At 44.2% G+C, this 27,250-nt stretch overlaps 1 protein-coding gene across 9 annotated transcripts in view, besides 2 other annotated features; it reads left to right on the forward strand.

Annotated features, from left to right (window-relative positions):
• The window catches only part of TJP2 (tight junction protein 2), a 133,945-nt gene that overhangs the window by 7,152 nt on the left and 99,543 nt on the right, over positions 1-27,250 (forward strand). For 8 of the 9 annotated variants that reach the window (XM_011519206.3, XM_011519208.3, NM_001170414.2 and 5 more), the window contains one exon: positions 23,236-23,356. The gene's annotated coding sequence lies outside the window, so the exon portion shown is untranslated. Of the gene's footprint in view, positions 1-23,235; positions 23,357-26,933; positions 27,101-27,250 lie in introns of all 9 variants that reach the window. The other variant, XM_047424091.1, reaches the window with a different exon arrangement.
• Positions 2,245-2,774: an enhancer, noted in NCBI's record as "H3K27ac-H3K4me1 hESC enhancer chr9:71745576-71746105 (GRCh37/hg19 assembly coordinates)". NCBI's record gives its function as "activates a minimal SCP1, AML or CMV promoter by ChIP-STARR-seq in naive H9 embryonic stem cells {active_cell/tissue: H9 hESC(naive)}" and the evidence as "EXISTENCE:reporter gene assay evidence [ECO:0000049][PMID:30033119]".
• Positions 26,965-27,024: an enhancer, noted in NCBI's record as "active region_28446". NCBI's record gives its function as "activates an Ori minimal core promoter by ATAC-STARR-seq in GM12878 lymphoblastoid cells {active_cell/tissue: GM12878}" and the evidence as "EXISTENCE:reporter gene assay evidence [ECO:0000049][PMID:35858748]".

Consider the following 27,250-nt stretch of genomic DNA (forward strand, 5'->3'; position numbering starts at 1 on the left):
GTCTGTCTTTTTAAATTTTAACCACGCTAGTTGGTGTGTGATTTTGGTTTTTACTTCTCTGATGGCTAATGATGTTGAATATTTATTTTTTCATGTGCTTATTAGACCATTTTTTTTTTTTTTTTGAGATGGAGTCTGGCTCTGTCGCCCAGGCTGGAGTGCAGTGGAGTGATCTCGTTTCACTACAAGCTCTGCCTTCCGGGTTCACACCATTCTCCTGCCTCAGCCTCCCGAGTAGCTGGGACTACAGGCGCCCAACACCACGCCCGGCTAATTTTTGTTGTTATTTTTCAGTAGAGACGGGGTTTCATCGTGTTAGCCAGGATGGTCTCAATCTCCTGACCTCGTGATCCGCCCGCCTCGGCCTCCCAAAGTCCTGGGATTACAGGCGTGAGCCACTGCGCCTGGCTATTAGATTATTATTCCTGGACTTTTTTCTTGATTCTTTTCCAAGGGAAAAGGACATAGGGAAAGAGGAAATTCTGTTTTGAATAAATTCTCCAGTTTCAATGGTTTAGATTAGAAGCATACTGAAAATGTAAATTGAGCCATTTGCTCTTTTGGAATTTATTGCGGCTTAGGCCTCTGGGCCTAGTGTAATACCTGATGTTCCTAAAGATTTGAATGAAGAATTAATGAATACGTAGTTTCTTGGGGTTGATGGGGAGTACGTAAGCAGGGACTTACTATTCTACCTGCTGATTTAATGTCCATGAAAATAATCATACACTAAAATGTTAATAATACATACACACAAACGGACTAGTGTACATGGTGGACATTTTAAACTCTTTCACCAAAATATTTATTGATTAACATCTGTCAGGGCCAGATGAGGTGGTTCATGCCTGTAATACCAGCACTTTGGGCAGATCACTTGAATCCAAGAGTTCGAGACCAGCCTGGCCAACATGGTGAAACCCAGTCTCTACTAAAAATATGAAAAATTAGCCAGGCATGGTGGCGTGTGCTGTCCTTCCAGCTACTCAGGAGGCTGAGGTGGGAGAATCCTTTTAGCCTGGGAGGTCCAGGCTGCAGTGAGCTGTGATTGCACCACTGCACTCCACCTGGGCAACAGAACAAGAACCTGTCGCAAAAAACAAAAAAAAACCCCGTCAATTCTACTTACTAAAATATACAATAATATAGTTTAAAAATCATATTAATACATTGTCTATATATTTTATTAGGGTACTCTTTATTTTATTCTCAAGTACTGCCAAAAGAAGAGTAGACTAAGGCTGGGTGCGATGTCTCACGCCTGGAATCCTAGCACTTTGGGAGGCCGAGGCGTGCGGATCACTTGAGGTCAGGAGTTCGAGACCAAAGCCAGGCTCACGCCTGTAATCCCAGCACTTTGGGAAGCTGAGGCAGGAGGATCACCTGAGGTCAGGAGTTCGAGACCAGCCTGGCCAACATGGTGAAACCCTGTCTCTACTAAAAATAAAAAAATTAGCTGGGCGTGGTGGCGTGCCTGTAATCCCAGCTGCTTGGGAGGCTGAGGCAAGAAAATCGCCTGAACCCGGGAGGCGGAGGTTGCAGTGAGCCAAGATCACGCCATTGCACTCCAGCCTGGGGGACAAGAGCGAAACTCTGCCTCAAAAAAAAAAAAAAAAAGAAAAAGAAAAAAAAGAAAAAGAAAGTAAAAAAAGAGTAGATTAATAAGACATTTTTCACGAGTCAGTGCATTTTTGTTCCTTGTTTCCCAAGCTGCACGGCAGTGTTTTTCCTTTGTAGCCACAGAGAATTTTCTTCATTCTCTACAGTCACAAGCCAGTATTGAGTTTCTTAAATATCTGTTGTGTTTTGGAGGCTCGCTATAACCTGACCTCAGGTTATACTGTTTGGATCTTGTATTATGGGGAAATGTTGGTAATAGCAGAGAACTAGGGAAGTCAGCTGGATTTAGAAAAAGAAAACTTCCATTTGAGGGTTCTTTGAGACAGTAGTGGGATAGGTGAGTGGAAGTGTGTAGCGCAGTGATTCTCAAACATTAGTTTGCATCTGAACCATCTGGAAGGCTTGTCAAAATACAGATTGCAGGCCCCCCTCCTGGAGTTTCTGATTGCGTAGATCTGGGGCGGGGGCTCAAGAATCTGTGTCTCTAACGAGTGCCCACCCAGGTCATGCTGCTGCTGCTGCTCTGGGAATCCCGCTTTGAGAACCAGTGCTTTGGAGGCCTTTGGAAGTGCAGGTCTGGAACTTGCATGACGGAAGGGGCCGGGCTTGAGGCTGGTCTGGGCATCCTGTGTGTGCAGGGGCTTGGTGGAGCTGTGGAAGTGGGTACCAGCCAAAGCAGGGCGCATAGACAAGTGCTGAGGACGAATTGAGGAATACTGTGGGGAGGGGTGGCTGCGAGGAAGAACAGAGCTGAGAGATAAGGAAGAAATGGACAGAGGGTTATGAGGAGACCTGGGTGAGTGAAGACCCACAAACTCCTATGTAAAGGTTCAGGAGAGTGAGGACATGTATGGGTATTGGTGTCAGGGGAGGGACTGAGTGGTCACCCGGATGGTAGGTGTTGTAGCTGTGCAGGCCTGGCCTTTCCACCATTCTTTCAGGAAGGGCAGCATCCCCGGGCAGTGGGATGTGCTGCTTGTGGCCACAGAGTCACATGTGGACTTTCCTGTAAGAAAGGGAATTCTTTTAGTCTTTCTGGCCGTAGTCCCAGGGATCATGACTAAGTTCTCTCCCTCTTTCTGCCTGTCACTGATAATTAACGTAAAACCAGGATGAGTTTTGCAAACCAGAAGCAAGATTTCTTTGTGCGAGGAGTGACTGTCATCTCTAAAACTGGAGTTTGTGTCCTTGTGTGTATTTGCCTGCTCAGCTTAATAGCTTTAGGCATGCAGTCATCTTAGCATAACTTGATATAAGCCGATTCTGAGAGTGGGTGCTGACATATGGAAGTGTTTTTGACAGTCCACGTTGTGAAGGTCAGGAGGTTTGCTACAGGAAAGAAATCCAAGAAGGGCAGTGGCCCACTGGTGTTGGGTCCTCTGAGAGTGAGCTGTGTTCTACTCTTCCCACTCACGTCACAAAGTCGAGAGAAACATCCCCTAATTTGATTGTATATTTCATTTTAAAGGAATCCTCATTGCGTCTGAGGATGTAAAATATTTCTCTTGGGTTTCGGAAAGAGGCCAAAGCCTGCCCCAAGGTGTTCTCTGTTATCATTTGGGGCATCTGTTGTTAGTAGAGAGCAAAGTGATTTAATATCAGTGCTTGTAAACCAACTGCCTGGTGACTTGCTGTATGGTCAGGAACTGAGTAGCAGCTCCTTAGTTTAGACTTTCCAATTTGCCTTTGATCCCACTCAGCCCTTTGCACAGATGAACATTCCTGCTGGCCCCTGTAGGCCCTGGGTGTGTGATTCCTCTGGTTAATGGACAGGACTGGAAAGGAAATATTTCACAACCCTGCATCTGTGGAGAGGGAGTGTCCTGGAATCCCCAAGACCACCCCCAGTTTCAATGATTCACTAGGAGGACTCACAGTACTCAGCACAGAGTTGTACTCATGGCTATGATTTATTATGGCTCAAAGATGCAAAGCAAAATAAGCCAAGGGGAGAAGTACTGGAGCGAAGTCCAAGGCAAGCAGGCACAAGCTTCCAAGGCTCCTCTCCCAGTAGAGTTACACATGATGTGCTTAATTCCCTGGCAACTAGTTGTGACCACACATGTGAAATGTTATCAACCAGGGAAGCTTATAAGGGACTCACTGCCCCGGGTTTTTACTGGGGGATTGTTACACTGGTGTCCTCTGCCTACCAGCTACCCAAATTTCAGACTCACACAAGGAAAGCAGCTGTTCAGCATAAACCACATGGTTGTACAGTTTAAGGACAGTGTGAGACTCTTACCAGTCCTGGCAGTGGTGGGAATCCAAATTCCCAGGCATCAGCTGAGAGCCACCTTGTAAGTGGGTCTTTCAAAGGATAACAGTCAGGCTTGCTATGTTACCTTTTGGATGGGGATGAGAGTGGCAGGTGAGGATGGTGGTGGGGACCCCTGAACTTGGAGAAGGGATCTGTTAATGCAGCCTCGGGGCCTGGTGCTGCAGGAGAAGGTGGAAGGAAGTGAACTGGGGTTTTGCACCTAGATCCTGGGTTCAGAATGATAACTGGGATTCCTGCACTACACGGATAGAGAAGGGTGGAAAAGAGTTCAAAGTCCTGTGCATTCATTCATCCATTTATTCATTCTTAACAGGCGCTTATCAATGCCTATGCCCTTTGAGGCACTGTGGCAAGGTGCTAAGGATACCACGGTGAGCAGGGTAAATTCTCTGCTCTCATGAGACCCACTTCTAGAGGGAATGAATGAGGAAAGGGGCAGTTAAATTCATTGCTATGGGGATATACCAAAGGCCCTAGGGTACCTACCTGGTAGGCTTAGTGGGAGTTCAGAAGGCATGAATTTTATAATCAGACCAACCTGGGTAGGAATCACACCTCTACTACTTATTACCTGTGTGCCTTGGGCAAGTTACTTAGTCACCTGGTGCCTAGATTTCTTCATTTCTTCATCTAAAAACAGGGAGAATTTATTGCCTTTTTTTTAAGATAGGGTCTCACTGTGTTGCTCAGGCTGGAGTGCAGTGGTGCAATCTCGACTCACTGCAACTTCTGCCTCCTGGATTCAAGTGATCCTCCTACCTCAGCCTCCCAAACAGCTGGGACTACAGGCATGTGCCATCACACCTGGCTAATTTTTGTATTTTTTGTAGAGACAGGGTTTTACCATATTGCCCAGCCTGGTCTCGAACGCTTGAGCTCAAGCAACCCTCCTGCCTCGGCCTCCCAAAGTGCTGGGATTACAGGCATGAGCCACTGTGCCCATCCTTTCTTTTAAGGCTGTTGTGAGAACTAAACAAGGCCGTGTATGTAGAGTGCTTATTTCAGGGGCTGGCACAGTAGAAATGTTCACTAAATAATGGCTTAGCGACGCCTAGCCAAGGATAGGTGTGTATTCTCCGGAAAGACTGGCGTCTGCTGCATCTTCACTCTGCAAGTCACTTCAGAGGCATCCCCTTCAGCCCTGGGCTCATGGGTGCACACAAGCCTGCATTCCTGCCACACTGCTCCGCTTGCTGGTCTAAGAATGCTTTCCTGTTTCATTTTTCTGGCTTTTTTTTTTTTTTTTTTTTTTTGAGACAGGGTCTCGCTCTGTCACCCAGGCTGGAGTACAGTGGCGCGATCTCGGCTCACTGCAGCCTCTGCCTCCCGAGTTCAAGCGATTCTCCTGCCTCAGCCTCCTGAGTAGCTGGGACTACAGCGTGCACCATCATGCCCAGCTAAGTTTTATATTTTTAGTACAGACAGTGTTTCACCATGTTGTCCAGGCTGGCCTCGAATTCCTGACCTCAAGTGACCCGCCTGCCTCAGCCTCCCAACGTGCTGGGATTACAGATGTGAGCCACCATGCCCAGCCTCATTTTTCTGGCTCTTGAACACACTTTTCTCTTTACCTGGATGCCCCAGATTTCTTTTGTCAGCCTAAGGAATATGTACTCCTATTATTAAGACCCAACTCAAGTACTTTCTCTTTTCTCTCTTTCTCTTTCCCAAGCCAAGTCCCTCGGACAGGATTGCTCATGCTCTCCTATGTCCTACCCTGGTTCCATGGTCACTCACATCCGTATTACAGCATGCTGGGTCGCAGTTGCTTGTTGCAGCATTAGACTGGGTGATTTTTGAAGGCAAGGATGGCTTGGTATTATTTGAATCTCCAGTGCCAATCAGACTGTTTGATAGGGACCAGCTCAGGGGATGTAGAGGGAGTGAATGAATGAGTGTGGAGTTGGACTGGAACACCCAACGTGAAATGGATACAACGTCAGCAAAATAGGTCTCTGCCCTCAGAGCAGAGCTTACAGTCTGGAGGAGGCAGATGGTGCACAGGTAAACATAAATATAACAATTAGAGACTAAGCAGTGACACAAGTCCCACAGCAGGTGCAGGGAGTCTCTCCTGGGAAGAGGGAGAAATAGGAAGTTGGAATGTTGATACCCTGGGCAATGTGGGGCTGTTGTCTGGAGTGTGAGTGGTGTTGGAGGCCTGAAGGGCTGGTCCTGTGGGGTGCACACCTGGAGAGCTAGGAGGCGGATAGTGAAGCAGTGGTCACTGGCACCTCAGCTGCCAGAGGGCAGGATTGCAGCAAGATCTAAGTGTCCACTTGGAAGGCTGAAGTGCTCCACTCAAGCAAGACAAACTGGGTTCGAGGAACCCAGGGTCAATAGAGGAAGTACCACCCAGCGAGCTGAAAGACCTGTCTGAGCTGGGCCTACGACCTGTGTCTTAGTCAGCTCGGGCTGCTATAATGAAGTACCAATGACTGGGTGGGTTAAGTAACAGACATTTGTTTCTCAGCGCTCTGGAGACATGAGGTTTGATACCAGGTGCCAGGATGGTCAGGTTCGTGGTGAGAACCCTTTTCCTGGCTTGCAGACAGCCACCATCTTGCTGTATGCTCACATGGCCTTTCCTGGATGCATTGTGTATGGAGAGAGAGGGAGAAGAGAGAAGAGGAGAGAGAGAGAGAGAGAAGAGAGAAGAGGAGAGAGAGAGAGAGAGAGATCTGTTTCTCTCATTCTCTCTCTTGTTGTAGGGACACTAATCCTATCATGAGAGTCCCACCCTCATGACCTCATCTAAACCTGATTACCTCCCAAAAGTCCTATCTCCAAATAGCATCACACTGGAGGTTAGGGCTTCAACATATGAATTTTGGGGAGATACAAACACTCAGTCCTTAGCAACCCAGGCCAATAACGATTTGCTGAGTAAATAATCATGGCTGGCACTCTTAATAGCTCTTTGAATGGGACAGGACCTAAATGTTTTGCATATAGTCATTAAAATTCATTCTCAAACAATCTCACTAGGTATGGCCATTATTTATTATCCCCGGTTTACAGATGAGGAAACCCAGGCCCTGAAGAATTTAAGTGATTTGCTAATTAAGTGTGAAGCTGGGATTCTGACCAGGCAGTCTGCTTCTAGGGTCTAGGATTTTGTTGTTGTTGTTGTTTGTTTTTTGAGGCAGAGTCTCGCTCTGTCACCCAGGCTGGAGTACAGTGACACGATCTCAGCTCACTGCAACCTCTGCCTCCCGGATTCAGGTGATTCTCCTGCCTCAGCCCCCTGAGTGGCTGGGATTACAGGCATGCACCACCACACCTAGCTGATTTTTTTTTTTTCTTTTGAGACGGAGTTTTACTCTTTTGCCAGGCTGGAGTGCAGTGGCGTGATCTCGGCTCACTGCAACCTCCACCTCCCGGGTTCAAGCAATTCTCCTGCCTCAGCCTCCCAAGTAGCTGGGACTATAGGCTCGCGCCATCACGCCCAGCTAATTTTTGTATTTTTAGTAGAGATGGTGTTTCACCATGTTGGCCAGGCTGGGCTCAAACTCCTGGCCTCATGTGATCCATTTGCCTCAGCCTCCCGAAGTGCTGAGATTACAGGCGTGAGTCACCGTGCCCAGCCAAGTGTAGGGTCTTAATCATTATACTTGCCTGACTCTTAATTAAGAAGTAAACTCTAATATTATTGGACGTCAGTCAAGTGCTAGTTCCTGAGTGAGGAGAGATATTAGAGATAGAAGGATGACTATGACATCATACCTACCTTTTAGGCTATCTCAGAATGCTCAAAGAGATATTATTTCTTGATGTCAATTCAAATTTGATACCACCAAGAAACTTTTATCTTTGTCTTGTAACTGTGGTCCATAGAACCAATAGCAGAGGAAAGTGTTTTGCAATTTCAAATGTGTCTCGTGGCTGAACTGCTGACAAAAAAATATGTTTTTTAAGAATAATGGGTGCAGTGGCTCATGTCTATAATCCCAGCACTTTGGGAGGCCAAAGCGGGAGGATCACTTGAGACCAGAAGTTTGAGACCAGTCTGGGTGACATAGTGAGACTTCATCTCTACTGAAAAAAATGAATAAATAATGAGCTGAGTCATCAAGTTAAAATGTACAGTTCATTTTAGTAGAGTGTATACTATAATGACAATAACTTCAATGATGGTAAAAGGTATCCTAAAATTTATAATACTAATCAAATCATAATACAGTTTGAGAAAATATAGAACCATTTATGTAAAAAAGTTTTTTTTTAGCTAAAAATAAATGTAGATGATTTGGAAATATTTTACAGGAAAATTTAGAACAAAGTGTCTTAAAGACTTTGCGGTGTTTCTGGATCTTGACTACTAGGGTCATGTGCAAGCTCAGTGAATGCAGGAGGAAACTACATCCATTTCCTGGTTGGGGGTGTCTGGGAAAAACTCAGCCCATGAGGGAGAAGGAGAGGATGAGGAGGACAGCGGCCCTTTGGTGAGAAGCCTGGTGATGGTGGTAGGGTGTGTTCACTCAGGCTTCCTGGAGAAGGAGAAGGAAGAGGATATCCTCTTGTCATGAACTCCACATTTGGATTCACTGGAAACAGATTTGGGAAAGAGCAGGAGGAGAGGGAAGAGGTTGGGGGTGTGGGACCCTCCTGTCTCCGAGGAAGCAGCACCACTGCTCAGGGCAACGCTTTGTGTGTGTCATCAGATGCTAGAGGATCCACTTCCAGAAGGCACTGAGCAGAGTGGAAGGAGTCAGCCCTGCTGCGTAGGAGCTGTGCGATCCAGGCCAGGTTCCTTAGCTCTGCCTGATCCCTGAATTATGTGGCTCGAGTTTCATTGTTCTGTTGGTTATTCTCTTTCTCAGGTCGGCAGCCTCTCGTCATGAGCTGAGGTTTTGTCCAGCTGCCCACACTCTTCAACCAATGATCATGAGCTTCTTTGTTTTCTTTCCTTCTTTCTTTCTTTCTCTCTCTCTTTCTTTCTTTCTTTCTTTCTTTTTCTTTCTTTCTTTCTTTCTTTCTTTCTTTTCTTTTCTTTTCTTTTCTTTTCTTTTCTTTTTTTTTTTTGAGACAGGGTTTTGCTTTGTTGCCCAGGCTGGATGGAGTGTGCAGTGGTGTGATCACAGCTCACTGCAACGTGTGCAGTGGTGTGATCACAGCTCACTGCAATGTCTGCCTCCCAGGCTCAAACGATCCTCTCGCCTCAGCCTCCTGAGTAGCTGGAACCACAGATGCGCACCACCAGGCCCGGCCAATTTTTGTATTTTTTTGTTGAGATGGAGTTTTGTCATGTTGCCCAGGCTGGTCTCGAACTCCTGGGCTCAAGTGATCTGCCCGCTTCGGCCTCCCAAAGTGCTGGGAATACAAGCATGAGCCACTGTACTCAGCTGAGCTTTTTTTTTCAAGGGACAGAATCTGGCCTTGAGAAGAAGAAACTTTCCAGCTTTTCTTCAAGGTCTTTGAATCTCTTTCTGTGGGTCCCCAGATCTCCTGGTCACAGCTCATCTTGTCATTTGCCTCAGATCTTTCCTCCTCTTCCTCTACTTTGACAGGTAATATCTCAGCAGGCTCCATTTCTTTCTCGTGACAATGTGCAGTCATTTCATTTCCTCTCTCCAGAAGACTTTGGGCAGCTCAATCCAGACATCTTAAGATGCCCCTTTGGGTCTGCTTTTCTGTTCTGTTCTTCCACAGGGTTAGTATAGAATTGATTTTTCTCTCCCACTTGGTTGGTCAGAGGCATGCTTGACTTTGGAACATCAATCACTTTCTGGCCTCATCGTTCTGCCTGTCATCAACAGGATCTCCATCCTGATTCCAACTTAACAGCCCTGTTCTCTTCTCCAAGAGGCATTACCAGTTCTCTCATCTTGAACCAACGTTCCGCCCGTTCCATACCCAGACCCTCCATGCTGTCTGGAGGTCCCATGTCTTTGTTTGCTCATAATAGTTATAAGTGGGTTTTAGCTTCTTCCTCTTGAGTTTGGATGGATTTGGCTTCTGCTGCCAGAGCCTAGATTGTTCTCACGTATCAGACATTGGCTTATCTTGAGGGTGGAGGATTTTCTTTTCCCAGCTGGTTTGCTATAAAGTATATAATGGGCTCAGTCACAGGGCTGGACAGATCCAGGCCATCAGGAACTTCTGGGCTTTCACCTTTTTCCATCACAAGACAAAACTGGATGAGAACTTTACAAAAAAAAAAAAAAGGGCCAGGGACCATGGCTTATGCTTGTAATCCCAGCACTTTGGGAGGCTGAGGTGGGCGGATCACTTGAGGTCAGGAGTTCGAGACCAGCCTAACCAACACGGCAAAATCCTGTCTCTACTAAAAATACAAAAATTAGCCAGGCAGCCGGGAGGCTGGGCATGGTGGCTTACACCTCTAGTCCCAGCACTTTGGGAGGCCAAGGCGGGAGGATCACCTGAGGTCGGGAGTTTGAGATCAGCCTGACCAACATGGAGAAACCCCATCTCTACTCAAAATACAAAATTAGCCAGGCATGGTGGAGCATGCCTGTAATCCCAGCTACTTGGGAGACTGAGGCAGGAGAATTGCTTGAACCTGGGAGGCGGATGTTGTAGTGAGCTGAGATCGCACCACTGCACTCCAGCCTGGGTGACACAGTGAGATTCCATCTCAAAAAAAATAAAGGGGGCTGGGTGCAGTGGCTCGGGCCTATAATCCCAGCATTTTGGGAGGCCAAGGCAGGCAGATCACCTGAGGTCAGGAGTTCGAGACCAGTCTGGCCAACATGGTAAAACTCCTGTCTCTACTAAAAATACAAAAAAATTAGCTGAGTGTGGTGGCTCACACCTGTAATCCCAGCTGCTGGGGAGGCTGAGGTGGGAGAATCGCTTGAACCCTGGAGGCGGAGGTTGCAGTGAGCTGAGATTGAGCCACTGCACTCCAGCCTGGGTGATAGAGTGAGACTTCATCTCAAAAAAACCAACCAACCAAACAAAATGTTTTACTTTAGTCAGTGTTATGGGTTGAATTATATTTCCCACCTCCAAAATTTCTATGTTCAAGTCCTAACCCCCAGTTCCTCAGAATGTGCCTTTATTTGGAGATGCGGTGTTTATAGAGGTAATCAAGCTAAAATGAGATCATTAAGGTGGCCCCTAATCCAATCTGTTCTTATAAGAGGAGGAAATTTGGACACAGACACATACAGAGGGAAGGTAATGTGAAGACATAGAGAAAAGATGGGCCTTCCCAAGCCAGAGAGAGTGGCCTGGAGCAGCTCCTTCCCTCACAGCCCTCGCAGGACCTACCTTCCCAGCACCTTGGTCTTGGACTCGCAGGCATGAGATAATGAATTTCTGTTGTTTAAGCCACCCAGTCTGTGGTATTTTGTTGTGGCAGCCCCAGGAAACTAATTCAGGCAGAATAAGAAATTCTACCTAAAACCAAGAGAGCTATTAATGCAGCAGCTCATGGCACAGCCACCATCTCCCATTGATGAGCAGTGAGAGCGAGACCAGGTCTCCCATAGCCAGGTCCTTGTCTCGAACTCGGCCGTGTCTTCTAGGTTTACCAAGAGCAATAGCTCTGTAGCAGGACAAAGTTCCTCCATAGGGCCCTATACTGCCACAGAGTCCCCTGGGGCCTTCCTGGCCAGCAGGAAGGTCACAACACTGTGGTCACTGGGCAGGCTTCTGTCTGGAGCCAAACCTTCGTCTAGAGCAAGTAGGCGACCGCTGCCGTGAGCGTTGGGGGCAGGCTTAGATCAGTATGGAACTCAAACACCCTCAGAGCTGCCCTGGCCTCCTTCTTTCCTCCTCAGGTGCTTAAACACATTTTAAGTCATCGTGTTCCAGTTTTAATTGATGAAGCCCAAAGTATGTGAGAGGGCAGAATAGGAACACCAAACCCAGTCTGGGGATTCAACGAAAGAAAGCTTTTTGGAAGAAATGAAGCCACAACTAGTCAGCAAAGAAATTAAAATACACTTACACGGTGTATATTATGTGCTGGATGTTACATGTGCTCAGTGCTTTCCATGTAATAACTGGTGTAATTTTAAAAACAACTCTATGAGGTAGGCACTATTATTAGCCCTGCTTTACAGATAACTGAGGCAGAGACATTGACTCTTCCAAAGCCACACAGCTAGTCAGTGATGGAGCTGGACTTCAATCTCAGGCAGTGTGGCCCCCCAATTCATGCTACAGAGTGGGAGGGGTGTGTCAGCAGGTGCAGCGTGGGATCATGTGAACTACTCTCTCCAGCTGCTGTCAGCCAACTGCTGTATCTCAACACCTCATACCCGGTATAGTCACTACCAAGTTCCCAGTTCTGATGTGAGGGGTGTTCCTTTCCTAAAATTCCAGAGCAGAGGTGACTGATATTCCCCTCACCCAATGAATGGCCAGGCCACACTTGTCTTAAACCAGCTCCTGCCAAGATTCTGAATTCTGTGCAACACCTCATCGCTCATGTGCTCCCAGGCAAGGGAACTGCTAGAATCCTACAATTCTAGGCTCATAGTAGAAACAGCGTAGGATCAATTTCTACCAACAGTAATAGGGAGCGGTGTTCCCTCACATAAGGAGTTCAAAGTTTTTTATTTCTCTTTGTTTTTTTGGGAGACGGAGTCTCGCTGTCGCCCAGGCTGGAGTGCAGTGGTGCGATCTTGGCTCACTGCCACCTCTGCCTCCCAAGTTCAAGTGATTCTCCTGCCTTAGCTTCCCAGGTAGCTGGGACTACAGGCGTGCACCACCATACCCAGCTAATTTTTGTATTTTTTTAGTAGAGATGGGGTTTCACTATGTGTTGGCCAGGCTGGTCTTGAACTCCTGACCTCAGGTGATCCACCCGCCTCAGCCTCCCAAAGTGCTGGGATTACAGGCGTGAGCCACTGCACCCGGCCTGAAAGTTTTTTATTTCTTAGGACTGAGAGTACTCAGAGAATCCATGAATTATTATATATATGCAAGTTGTTTGGGAAGGGCAGTCAATTAAGTGATTTTAATGTTGGCTTGAACTATTCAGTAGCAGGGGTTAAAAATCTAGGACGTATCACAACCATAAGGGAGGGCCTCCCCAGTTGGCCCACCAGAGCCAGGCCCCTTTCCTCTGCTCCCCCGAGCAGGACCCAGGAGCCTACTTTCCTTTCTTTGTGGTGTTTTCCACCGCCCACTCCAGCCCTTGGGTCCCTGTACCCTCCAGCCAGCCTGTCTTTCAGTCTCACTGTTTTTCCCACAAGGACCACTCTTCCTGAAGAGGCATTAGGAATGGAAAAAGAAGGACAGATGGGAGAGAGGAAGGGAGGGAGGGATGATATCCACCGAATGTATATACATTACGGCATTATTTATTAATTCATTTTGAGACAGAGTCTCACTCTGTCACTCAGGCTGGAGTGTAGTGTCATGATCTTGGCTCACTGCAACCTCCACCTCCTGGTTCAAGCGATTCTTATGCCTCAGCCTCCCGAGTAGCTGGGATTACAGGTGCCCACCACCATGCCCGGCTTTTTTGTATTTTTAGTACAGACAGAGTTTCACCATGTTGGCCAGGCAGGTCTTGAACTCCTGGCCTCATGTGATCCACCCACCTCGGCCTGCCACAGTGCTGGGATTACAGGCGTGAGCCACAGCACCTGGCTGCATTTATTATTTAAAACAAGCCCTGTGTTGTGGTCTTAGTCTAGCTGTACGAATGATGGAACAGAGGTTCAGAAAGGTCAGTAACTTGTTCAAGGTCACCAGGTCTTAAACAGTAGAGGTGGGATTCAAACCAAGTCTTTCCCCTGTGTCATGGGGTTGGTATGACTGGGGACACACAGGAATGGATGAGGGTGTCTTCAAGGTCTCATGCTGGGTGAACCAGGAGGTGGATGCACAGAAGCCGGAAAAGGCAAGGGGCACTGTAGCTGGCGCTGGGCACATGGGTTATTTCCAATAGATACTGGGTTGTGCCAGAGGACAGGATTGGAACGATAAATTTGATGACATCCAGTTGAAGGTAATAGTTTAAACCTAGTAGTGAATATGTTCTGAGGATGAATGACTCTGAGGAGAGAAGGCTAGTTTGGGCTGAGCAGGTGAGTCTAAAAGAGCCACACTAAACTTTATTAACTCTTTGGTAATTCTTTTACATCACGTAATCTGCTTTTCTTACAGTGTATTGGTGGGGCATCTGAGTAGCAAATATGTAAAGATATTATTTATGAGCATATTAAGGAGGAGAGAAATGAAATGCTTTTTTCAGTAGAGCTAAAAAAGCAAAAACAAAAAAATTGCTGTTTCCCTAACTCTTCTACTTTTAGTTAAAGCTTTTTTCAGCTCCTGAAAAGCAGACCACACCCTATAAAACAGACTGTACAGGGCATTAGTTCATTTCCCTTTTTATACTTCCAAAGCACAGTAACTGTTAAAACACCCAGTGAAGAAGCATGGCCACTGTCTTTCTCCAGAAGAAATAAAGTAGAAATATTAGTTGAAAGGAAATGTCAGTCTGATCTGTGAAGTTTTATGTTCAATTTTAATCATCCAGAAAGAAAACTTGAGCATCCTGACTTAAAAGCTTTTTTTGGATCATGTATATTTAAAAACACTTTTAATAGATAAATGATTTTTAGTTAATAGTTCCAGTTATAAACAATTTCTAGAATTGTAAGGGAATTAACCCAATATATGCATATTTCTAAATAATTTCTAGAATTATGAAGTGTCATATCTGGAAGGGGTATTTTGGCTAGATTTGTTATTTCCTGTGTTATTAACCTTATGTATAATTATGAGAGATTCCACACAAAGATGACAATTTTAAAAAATGAATAAATAAATTAGCAAGTTGAACAGTCTGATTTATGGAAGAAAAGCAAATTCTTTCTAATATTTGCTAAGGCAGAATTATTTTCCTAATGAAAGACACAATTTTAATTTTATGTGAAATCATCATAGATAAGAATCACTTTGTAAGAGCTGCATGTTAAATGCATCGAAAATTCCAATAAAAAATGAAACTTTAAAACATCCCATTTGCAAAATATCATGTCACTTTTCACTGCAGGAGAACAGCTTCCAATGGGTAACAAGTTTAAGTTGATTTTTTCTTGTTGTTAGCTCAGGCTTTGTTACTTATTTAGAGTGTTGTATAGTAATTTTTATCATGCGTCATCAGAAATACAATTTGTTAGAACAATGACTGTTGTGTGAGTGTAATTACATCTTCCTGTATGATTAAATGAGGGCTGTATGGGACCTTTACTCAGAGGTGGCAGCTGTAGCCAACCAAGTTCAGCCTATAAAAGAATTCCTGGGACTAACTGGTACTAATTGTTTGCAGAACAACCAGTGGGAGTAATATTCATGAATACTATGGAAATGAAATATTCCAAGACCAAATGCTTTAGCCCTTGTTTTTTACTTTATTGTGGTCAGATTATATTAATTGCATAATCAGGCCAAGTGAAGTGGGAGCTCTTGGTCTTTTGTTGTTTTTGGAAGAAAACTTAGCCTTCATCTATTCAGTCCTCTCATCTTATAAACAGGGAAATTGAGGCTTAGGGAGTAGTTGAAGGGTTATTTAAAGTCACCAAACTGTAATATACCCTGTCAGAGTTTTAAGTACACTCATATACCCCTGTCAGATTTTTAAGTACACTCTACCGTATACATGAGTATATTAGTTTGTAAATAGTGTACCTTATTACAATTTAAAAGATATTAGTTCTCAAGGTAAATATTATGAATATTCAAAACACAAACATTCAATTTTATTTTTTATTTTTTTGAGACAGAGTCTCTCTCTGTCACCCAGGCTGGAATAAAATGACACGATTATAGCTTACTGCAGCCTCGAACTTGTGGGCTCAAGTGATCCTCCTGCCTCAGCCTCCTAAAGTGCTAGGAGTACAGATGTGAGCCACGTGCCCAGCAACACTCAAATTTTTAAAGCATGAGAGAAGAAAAGAGGAAATAGATGGCATAATACTTTCTTCCCACATCCCAAAGATTGTTGGTATGTGCACCTCACTTTGGAGATTTAGGTCATTTAGGTCAAAAGAAACTTGCTATTGAGGAAAGAGAATCTGTAGAAGTAGGGTTTAAGATTTGCGGGGATGGGGAAGGGTTTGGGACACTCACTTTGGACATCTAGGTTAATCAGAGTTACTGCATAATGGCTCCCCTTCTATTTTGCTTCCCTTTATGTATGGGTTTGTTTAGACAAGGAGCAGCATGACTCTTGTATGTTGCCATAGCACATCAAATAGGAAAAAAAAATAGCTTGAAGAAGTTGGTGAGGAAGGAGCTATTTAAGTCAGAACTCTCAGAGTGACAAACTCAACTAAAATTAAATTTCACAAAAGTCAATTTATTAGCTTTCATAAACGATAACTGTAATCTCCTAGGGTGACAGTGGCCTCCGGCATAGCTGGATCCAGAAGCTCGAGTGATGTCATGACATTTTTCTTGGTACTGTTTTTCTCAACTATTGTAATACTAGTGAAGAGCCCTCTCCATGTGGCGGGGCACATGACTACTATCAAGAGCTCCAACTTCCTATCAGCCCTGGTTAGCAAATCCAATGGAAACAGGACATTTCCCTCCTACAGTCATCTGTTCACCCCAGGGAAGACTGGTTGACCCAGTATGTGGATCATGTGTACCATGGCCCATTGAGTGGGCCACCATGATAGGTGGTCCACCTTTACCCATGGACAAAGGGTAAGGAAGCTCTTCAAAGCCAAGAGGAGACTTAAAGAAAATGGAGATGAGGTAGATTCTGAACCTCTCCAAACGATATATTTTCATGATGGCAGGGATCACACATGTTGGGTTCTAGAGGTATTTAAAAAGTTGTTTTTAATAATAATTTTAAAAACCCACCAAATTGTTTCTTAATTAATTAATCTTTGCTATTGACCCAAGCAAGGAGTTTATAGTGCTTAGAAATGCATTGCTATAAAATGACAACTAGAATTCCTTCCTCACTTGTCAAAGCACAGGCTTTTAGAGAGAGAGATATTTGTAGAAAGAGCAAATCTGTTTCTGATTTTAGTTCATCCAGTGGCAGGCAGGCTTTTTGGACCAATTATTACCAGACCTTGAGATAAATCACCTCATGAGCCATTAGTTCTTGAAGGATTAGCGGCCTCAAAGATTTATGTGCGGATTAATTGGAGTGTACATTAGATCGCCGTGTTTAAAACCGCAGTCATTCCTGCAAATCATTTTCATTAGTGCTTTATTCAGAATTATTTAGCCTTGTATAATACTGCCATTGCAGGGAAATCTGAAAGACGTTCTCTTTATTTGTGGTCTGCCCCCCCATCACCACGGTTGTGTTTAATAGATCTAGCTAGGGCTACATAGAGAACATCCAAAGGAACAGCAGCTTCCATTAAAGATTAGTTCAGTTGCTTCAGGTGAACAGTGACTGAAATTTACAGGACCTTGTACCGAGAGAGACAAGATGAGGTACAAGAAATATATCGGTATTCTGGAAGCAGCAGTTGGTATTACCCCACTTAACAAAAGAGAACTTCTACCTGAGAGCAGAAGACACGTGAACCTTTGGCAACAACCTGGGTAAGCAGAGGAGGCTGGAAGCTTCTCACTATAGATGTAAATACTTTTTGTCTGTTTTGGGGACCCATATAGAAAAAAGGGTCCTCTGTCTTGTGGGGATAATAAATGAGTTCTTCATTAAGAACTTGTTTCTTCTTGGTGGAGAATGGAACTCCTAGACTGATTTAAAAATAGGAATGAAATTGTTGGATAATATTCTAATACCCAAGAAGATGAATAATGGGTGTGTCTAGAGCCCATTTTTACAATCTAGACATTTAATTTTCTGATTTTGAAAATGTTTTTTTAACATGGTTTACAAATGTAGCAATTCTTAAGAATGAAGAAAATATGCCTTATTACTATAATGTTTTTCAACAATACAAGTGTTTTTCTGATTAAAGTGTATGTGCAGACTATGCTTCGGGGAAATACTTTGCTTGAAACAGCAGTTTTCCTTCCACATCTCTTTCTGCAGCCCCACTGATTTACCATGATGAAGAAAGGTTGAGAAGTTCTTTATGCATAGCTACAAGCCTTAGTTCTAACTTTCTTCTCTGAAGTCTTCTTTTGTGCTTCTTACACATTAAAGACAAGGTGAATTTAAGGTGCCTTTATGGTAGACGATATTTTTAGGGCCTGAATTTAATTTTCAAACTGAATGAGTCACACAGTAGCATGTACTGATCAACTTGCATCTGTGTAGCAAATATTTCTTTTTAACAATTAGATAGTTACTAGCTTATTTTTATCATATGAGCAATGTACATTCATTATAGAAGATTTAGAAAATACAGAAAAATAAGGGGGAAAATTACCCATTGTCCTATCTCCCCAAGAGAACTACTAGAATCGTTTAGGTCAGTGGTTGTCAACGGGGAGGTGGAAATAGGGAATTTTGCTCCCCAGGGGACAATTGTCAATGTCTGGGGCATTTTTTTTGTTGTTATAGCCCAGGGGTTGCTATTGGCATCTAGTTGGTAGAGTCTGGGGATACTGCCCAACATCCCACAAGGTACAGGACAGCCCCCTGCAACAACGAATTATCCAGCCCACAGTGTCAACGGTGCCACTGGTGAGACATTTGATTTAGATAGGTTTTCTTCCCATCTGTAAAAGGGTACATTTTATTAGAAAAAAATAAATATTTCTTTGGGAAATCTTAGAGATGCTTTAGAATGGAATTCTGAGGCAACATTTTAATTATATTATTGTTATTCTACTGTTATTGTCTTGAAAGTAAATGGAAGTGTGTATATGCGTGGAGAGGGCAGGGGGCATACAGAGACTCTATCAGAGTCCATGTAGGTTAATGCTGTTCAGCCAGGGCTGTGGAAAACATTGTAATGACTAAACTGAGATTCTCCAAGTAGCCTCTCGTGATTGGGCATGCGGTAGCCTAGACCTTAGTCTCAGAATGACGAAAGTTTAGAACTGGGAGGACCTTTGCCAGGGATGGCAAACAGGTTTCATGTGGAAGACAGGTGCCAGTTGATGGTTGGCTGCTTGGAGTATCTAGCTAGGAGGACCTGGAGGCCAAACCTGGGCTTAGCGGGAAAGGAATATCGCAACTGATTAGGGATGTTTGTTCTGAACCTATGATTAGGGAATTGGGGAGATGCAAGCCGTGGCCTATATATTTACCATTCCTGAATTCTAGTTTAGTGTTCGAATTTTACAAGTGGGAAACTCAGCCTCATTGGAGTCATCCTGATCAAGGGCCTGGCTCTCAGACAGAAACGGGATGTTCTTAGTTTCTGCCTCAGGGTCTTTCATGAAGGGATTCGGCCTAAACAAGCTCCCATGATTCAGATGTGCAAGTTGATTGCTAGATTATTAATTTTTGTTCAGAGATAACCTCTACTAGCAATTGGAATAAGTACCCTAAATAGACCTAAATAGATCTCTGCTTCTCCTCATTTCCCCAAATCAAACCAAACAGAAGTCAAATTATTACAAAGTAGCCCTTAATAAGGGAAGTTGAATGTGCCTTTTTTTTGAGAGAGAGAACGTTTCCTTAAGCTGGATGAAATAGCATTGGATCAGAGGACGAACAAGATCTTCCTTGTACCTATAATACTCTTTGAGTTCTGTGAATACACAGGGATAAAACATTTCACTGATCACTTTTTTTTTTTTTTTTGAGACAGTATTTAGCTCTTGCTGCCCAGGCTGGAGTGCAATGGCACAATCTTGGCTCACTGCAACCTCCGCCTCCCGGGTTCCAGAGATTCTCTTGCCTCAGCCTCCCGAGTAGCTTGGATTACAGGCATGCGCCACCACGTCTGGCTAATTTTGTATTTTTAGTGGACACGGGGTTTCTCCACGTTGGTCAGGGTGGTCTCGAACTCCTTACCTTAGGTGATCTGCCCATCTTGGCCTCCCAAAGTGTTAGGATTACAGGCATGAGCCACTGTGCCTGGCCCTTTCTTTTTTATATTTTTTTTAATTTTTTTTTTTTTTTGAGACACAGTCTCAAAAAAAAAAAAGCCACAATTGGAAGTCAGGTTATAATCCAGTATTTAAAACCTCAAGGAATTCATTCATTCTTCTCATGCTTCCCCCTCTGTAATACTTTTTTTTTTTTTTTTGAGACGGAGTCACACTTTGTCGCCCAGGAGGCTGGAGTACAGTGGCAGGATCTTGGCTCACTGTAATCTCTGCCTTCCGGGTTGAAGCAATTCTCCTGTCTCCACCTCCCAAGTAGCTGGGACTACAGATACCACCATGCCTAGCTATTTTTGTATTCTCAGTAGAGATGCAGTTTTACCATGTTGGCCGGGCTAGTCTCGAACTCCTGACCCCAAGTGATCCACCCGCCTCGGCCTCCCAAAGTGCTGGGATTATAGGCATGAGCCACCGCCCCCCTCTGTAATACTTTTTCTTGCTGTCTGCAAGCAGGGATGTGCTTGGGCTTCTATTCTGCAAACTGTACAGTTGCATGATTGGCCAAAACGAATGGCTACCAACCGACAATTGACTGAGTATTGCAAGTTCATTGAAACAGAGATTGGATGATTTACACATGTGTATATTTGCCCATTGCCCAGCACATGGTAGGTGCTCAACAAATATTTTCCAGTGCTAACTCGGTTTCAGTATAGCCACAATGGAGAAAGATAGAATAAAAATAATTGATACCCAAATACTAACCTAAAATACCCAGCCACCTATGAATCTTCCTTTTGAAATCTGTAAAGTTTTTCAGCTTTAACTCATGTTACCTGACAATTTTACATTATCTCTCAATACTATTGAAATCCAAGAATATATTTTATTTCTTTCTGCCAAATGTTCTTTTAATTTAGAGGCCCTATTCAATAATAGTGTATTTTAGAAACAACTGATTGTTATTGGGGGTTTGTATACATGAAAAAACTCCTTGGATTATTATAGAGAAAGTTAAAGCCAGGATACATTAGAAATGCAGAAAACTCCTTAAATTAAAAAGCAAGCCATTTTAATAAAAGAAATAAGCTCTCCTTGGAGCTGATACCTGTAGAAAAGTTTGCATATGAAGCCAAAAGCATAACTAAGTACCTCTCGATTTGTAAGCCATTTATTTATCTTTGGAAGTAATAATAGAAACCATGTATGGGCTGGGCTTTAATCCCGTTGCTTGCTTTGTAGGATGTCCAGATGGCATAGCTTTAGCCTTTGCCTACATTTCCTGCTGATCCTGGGAGAAGGGAAATGTGCCTCCCGCCTGTACAAATAAAACTGACACCATCTTTTCTTTCTATTTCATCGTGTAGGGAGTAGAGTGTTTTGCACAGACGCCACAATATCAGTTTGTCTAGCAAACAGAAGAGTATGTCCAGAAGTGGTGAGAGGCTGCATTCTTCCTCCCACTGAAAGTTTTTCCTGTGACTGCCCGAGTGAAGCTGCCTTCACAAGCTCAACCCAGAAAGGAGCTTGCCTCCTTGTGGTATTCGAAAGGCACATGCAGGCTTCATAAGAATTTGCAGAAGGGGTATTTCTTGGGTTTTCTTGGTCTTAGGGGTAAAACGAGAAAGTATTTGCCATCTTTCCTGCTGGTGAGCAACCCATAAATATAAACACAAGCCTAGGCCAGTTGCGGTGGCTCATGCCTGTAATCCCAGCACTTTAGGAGGCCAAGGTGGATGGATCACTTGAGGTCAGGAGTTCGACACCAGCCGGGCCAACGTGGTGAAACCCTGTTTCTACTGAAAATACAAAAATTAGCCGGCCGTGGTGGCACGTGCCTGTAATCCCAGCTACCTGAGAGGCTGAGGCAGGAAAACTGCTTGAACCCAGGAGGCGGTGGTTGCAGTGAGCCGAGATTGTGCCACTGCACTCCAGCCTGGGCGACAAGTGAGACTGTCTCAAAAAACAAAACCATAAACACAAGCCAGTGTTATAAATGCTATGAAAAACAAATTCCCTTTTGGTTTAAAATGTTTTCTCTGTAGTATACTTTGGAATGGTAAATTTTATGTTATGTGTATTTTACTATAATAAAAAATTTTTTTCTTTTCTTTTTTTTTTTTTGAGACAAGAGTTTCACTCTTGTCGCCAGGCTGGAATGCAGTGGTGAGATCTCACCTCACTGCAACCTCTGCCTCCTGGGTTCCAGTGATTCTCCTGCCTCAGCCTCCTGAGTAGCTGGGATTACAGCACCTCCCCACCATGCCCAGCTAATTTTTGTATTTTTAGTAGAGATGGGGTTTCACCATGTTGGCCAGGCTGGTCTTGATCGAACTCCTGGCCTCAGGTGATCCACCCGCCTCAGCCTTCCAAAGTGCTGGGATTACAGGCGTGAGCCACCATGCCCAGCCTAAAATATTTTGTTCTAGCTATTTTCTCACCCGCTGATATTTGTTTAACCTGAAAGGCGAATTCTTATAAGATCTTGTTTCTCAGAGTGACCCTCAGGTGGACTGGTGATACCAAAGTTTAGGTGGCAATTCACTTTCTCCATTTTTTGAAGACTGAAAACAGGGGCAGCAATTCCATTATTTCTGAGAGAAATGAAAACATATGTCCACATAAACAATTGTACACAAGTGTTCATAATGACCAAAGAGTAGAAACAACCCAAACTTCCACCAACTGAAGAATAGATAATAAAATGTGGTATATCCATACAATGTAATATTATTTGGCCATAAAAAGGAATGAAGTGCTGATGTATGCTATAACATCAATGAACCCTGAATACATTATGCTAAGTAAAAGAAGGCAGTCACAAAAGGCCTCATATCATATGAGTCCATTCATATGAAATATCCAGAATAGATAAATCTATAGAGTAAAAAATTAGATTGGTGGTTGCCTAGGGCCAAGAGGCAGAGAGAGAATTGGGGGCTCAGGGAATGATGGCTAATGGTTATGGGGCTTTTCTTGTGGGGTTAATGAAGATCTTCTAAAATGGATTGTGGGCCGGGCGCAGTGGCTGACGCCTGTAATCCCAGCACTTTGGGAAGTCGAGGTGGGTGGATCACCTGAGGTCGGGAGTTCAAGACCAGCCTGACCAACATGGAGAAACCCCGTCTCTACTAAAAATACAAAATTAGCCGGGCGTGGTGGCGCATGCCTGTAATCCCAGCTTTCCGGGAGGTTGAGGCAGGAGAATTGCTTGAACCAGCAGGCAGAGGTTGCGGTGAGCCGATATCACACCATTGCACTCTAGCCTGGGCAACAAGAGCAAAACTCCGTCTCAAAAAAAAAAAAAAAGGATTGTGGTGACAGTTGCATAACTCTGTGAAGGTACTAAAAGCCATCCTAAAAACGGGCAAATTGTATGGTATGTGGACTTCAGTGCATTTCCCAAAATCTTACCATTGCAGGGAATGAGCATGTTGGATTTTTAACAACACTGTCTTTTCCAGGGTGCGAAGTACCACATTACTGTCATCTCCCTGTGAGTGGGATTGGCACCCCGGCTGCAGCTCCAGGAGCAAGTACTCCAGGAAGCACAGAGCTGTACCAGTACACGGCCCACGTTGCCAGGTATTTGCTTATTTAATCTCTCATCAACCTAGTTACTGGTCTCCCCCAAAATTTGTTCGAATAGTTACCGTTTTCACATTCTAGAGGTAGTCAGAGTTACCATTTTTGATGTTGCTGATATATACATTTTCATAGAAAATTTAATGGTAATGTCCTATTTACCAAAGAATAGAAACATCTTACCTGAATTAATGGACTGAATTGATAGGTATAACTTTGCCATGGTTGGTGAATGCTTATTGAGGATGACCTTTCTGGCATGTAAGTAAGTACAACTTCTGTGGTTCAAAATAAATGCCTAAATTGGCATTTGGTGCTGATGATGTCTGGGATTGGAGGTCATTTTAATAGGTTATATTTTTTCATTATCATTGAGGTAGTAAAATTATATAACAGTGGTAAGCACTTTGATGAAAAGATAAAGGACATCAGTCACACTGGCTTCTAAAGATTAATTATGTCCAAGCTTTTAGTGAAAGAGCTAGGAGCGAGTATTATCTATTTACTGATTCACTTTTAAGAGTGAATCAAATGAGATTTACAAGGTCTTAAATTTTGACAGATGTGGGATGCATTTGTTTTTTGTTACACTTTGACCTCTGTTTATAGGCCAGGCCATGGCTAGCTGGAATGGGGTTGTAATTTTTTTCATGTGCTTGTTTTATAATTCCTGTCTGTTGAAGTTGGCAGCCCCTACTTGGGTGGATTCCAGATAAATGTGTGAACTGGAGTTTAGTGGAGTGTGAATGGCACACTCCAGAAGAGCAGATAGTCGTTCAGATCCTAGTCCTGCTGCCTTCTAATTGTGTGATCTTGGGCACATGTCTTAATGCTTCTGAGCCTCAGATCCTTCATCTGTAAAAAGGGAACGTCGACATGAAACTAAATGAGTTAATGGGCCCAGCAAGTACCAGGCCCATGCTAAGGCCTTTCTCAGTGTCTAGTTGTCCAAATGAGGACATTCAAGTGGGGGAAGTCCTCATTTTCCACTGAATTAACAGGGCTGGATGTGGGTTTTGTTTACTGAAATGTTCTCTCTGGAGCTCTTTTTTTTTTTTTTTTTTTTTTTTTTTTTTTGAGACGGAGTCTCGCTCTGTCGCCCAGGCTGGAGTGCAGTGGTGCGATCTCGGCTCACTGCAAGCTCCGCCCTCTGGAGCTCTTAAAGGTCCCAGCCAGGCAAGGCAGCTCATACCTATAATCCCACTGTTTTGGGAAGTAGAGGTGGGAGGATCGCTTGAGGCCAAGAGTTTGAAACCAGCCTAGGCAACATAGTGAGACCCTGTCTCTATTTAAAAAAAAATAATAATAATAATTTGCTGGGCATGGTGGTGTGCTCCTGTAGTCCTAGCTACATGAGAAGCTGAGGTGGGAGGATCGCTTGAGCCCAGGAATTCGAGGCTGCAGTGAGCTATAATTGCACCACTGCACCCCAGCCTGGGCAACAGAGTGAGACTCTATCTCAGCAACAAAAAAACGTCCCAAACATGAGAAGACAGATACCTGCTCAGACTCCAGAAATTGTTTTCCTTGTCTGGGCGCGGTGGCTCATGCCTGTAATCCCAGCAATTTGGGAGGCCAATGTGGAAGGATGGCTTGAGCCCAGGAGTTTGAGACCAGCCCGGGCAACATGGCGAAACCCCATCTCTGCAAAAAATACAAAATATTAGCCAGGCGTGGTGGTGCCTGCCAGTAATCCCAGCTACTCGGGAGGCTGAGGCACGAGAATCACTTGAACCCAGGAGGTGGAGGTTACAGTGAGCTGAGATCGTGCCACTGCATTCCAGCCTTGCGATACAGAGAAACTGTCTCAAAAAAGAAAAAAATTGTTCTCCTAAAATCTTTAGATTTCTAGATAGGATCTGTTGATTATTCAAATAAATTGGAGGGGTACTATAGAGTATGGCAAAGAGAGATTGGAGCTAGCATTGTCTGTTGGAGGAAAGGCTCTTTCTGACTCTAGCCAGCCCCTCCTGATAAATACCTCCCTTGTTCTGGTTCCCTGTACCTGCACTATGAACTGCATGCCTTTCCAACATCAATTTGATTGCCTAAGTCAGTGCCTTACTCCAGAGTTCTTTCATGTGTAAACACTTAAGCTTGGCTTTCTGGGACGAATCAGCCTTGGGTGAGCTTGAGTGATGTGGATTTTTTTCCCAGGCATCTCACGTCGCCCTAGTTTCAGATCCAGCAAACACTCATTAAGGGCCTTTTATGTGCCAAGCAAGGGGCAAGGTGCTTTCACCCATATGGTTCCTCCTCACAACAACCCTAAGAGGAAAGTATTAACTAGCTCCCATTTGTAAATAAAGAACTTGAGATTCAAAGATTTTAAATGATTCCTTTGTGGTTGCACAGCCCCTGACTTCCAAGTTCAGTGAGATTTGTATTTCTATACTAATTCTACAGAGCTTGAAGACTTAACTCCTTAACTCAGACGAGTAAAAAGGTTTCTCTCTAAGGCCAGTTTGGATCAATTGCTAGGTGGCTGCCTGGAGTTAAGGATTTGCAAGTGCCGCTCAAGTTTGTTGAGCAAGAATGTTGTGATCGATTGGCAATGTCCGGCGTGGGTGGAGCAGGTGTCTGCCAAACCGCTCTGGACCTGAGGTTTCTAATCATCAGCCTCTACTCATTCTGCTCTCCTCTGCCATTCTGGAGTCTCTCCTCTGATGAGCACTGTTTGCCTGAGGCTGGATTTTTGCAACTTTAAGGGGCTTTGATTATCACCTTTCTGACTTGGCAGGATCATCTTTGCCTTCAGAAATAATGCTAAGGCTTTGGGAGGCTGAGGCGGGAGGATCGCTTAAGCCCAGGAGTTCAAGAGCACCTGGGCGACATAGACCGACCCTGTCTCCATTAAAAAAAAAAAAAGAAGGCCAGGCATGGTGGTTCGCACCTATAATCATAGCACTTTCAGAGGCTGAGGCAGGAGGAGCCCTTGAGCCCAGGAGTTCAAGACCAACCTGGGCAACATAAGGAGACCCTGTCTCTTTTTCAATTTTATAATTTTATATAAAAAAATTAATAAATAAAAATTAAAAAAAAGATGCTAATAGTCTGGTGAAGAGCTTCATTTTCTAGATACGAAATCTCATTGTTAGGCAATTTAGATACCTTAAAGTTATCACTGACTCACCCCATCATATAGGCTTAGAAAAGTGAGTTGAGGTTGGGGTCAGTGGCTCACGCCTGTAATCCTAGCACTTTGGGAGGCCGATGTGGGTGGATCACCTGAGGTCAGGAGTTCCAGACCAGCCTGGCCAACATGGTGAAACCTCATCTCTACTAAAAATACAAAAATTAGCCTGGTGTGGTGCTGGGCACCTACAATACCAGCTACTCAGGAGGCTGAGGCAGGAGAATCACTTGAACCTGGTGGGCCAGAGATTGCAGTGAGCCGAGATCGTGCCACTTCACTCCAGCCTGGGTGAAAGGGCGAAAGAGTGAAACTCCATTTCCAAAAAAAAAAAAAAAAAAAAAAGGAAAAGAAAACAAAAGAAGTGAGTTGAAGGTGAAAGCTCGAAACTTTTACTTCTGTGCACCTGGGAGCCCCTCTATAGCTTCTTTCCCTCTTCCCTAGGGGCTCCTCGGTTTACAGGAATTCTCAGGGAAATCACTCCAGCAGCCAAACTTCCATACTGGGATGGACAGACCCAGAGCAGTGGCACATCGGTATCGCCTGGAGGGCGTGTTAAAACACGGATTCCTGGGCCCCACCCCCAGGGTTTCTGCTTCAGGCAGTCTGGGGTAAGTCCCAGGAATTTGCATGTCTGGTTTCCACTACTTTGACAACCACTAACCTGGAGAGTACTTGTAATGGCTGGTTTAGAGCATGGGCTTGTTTACAGATGGTGTGTGTGGCCAGTTTCTCTATCTGTGGGGAAGGGATTCTGTCCT

The sequence above is a fragment of the Homo sapiens genome, chromosome 9, assembly GCF_000001405.40.
Source record: "Homo sapiens chromosome 9, GRCh38.p14 Primary Assembly".
Lineage (NCBI taxonomy): Eukaryota > Metazoa > Chordata > Mammalia > Primates > Hominidae > Homo > Homo sapiens.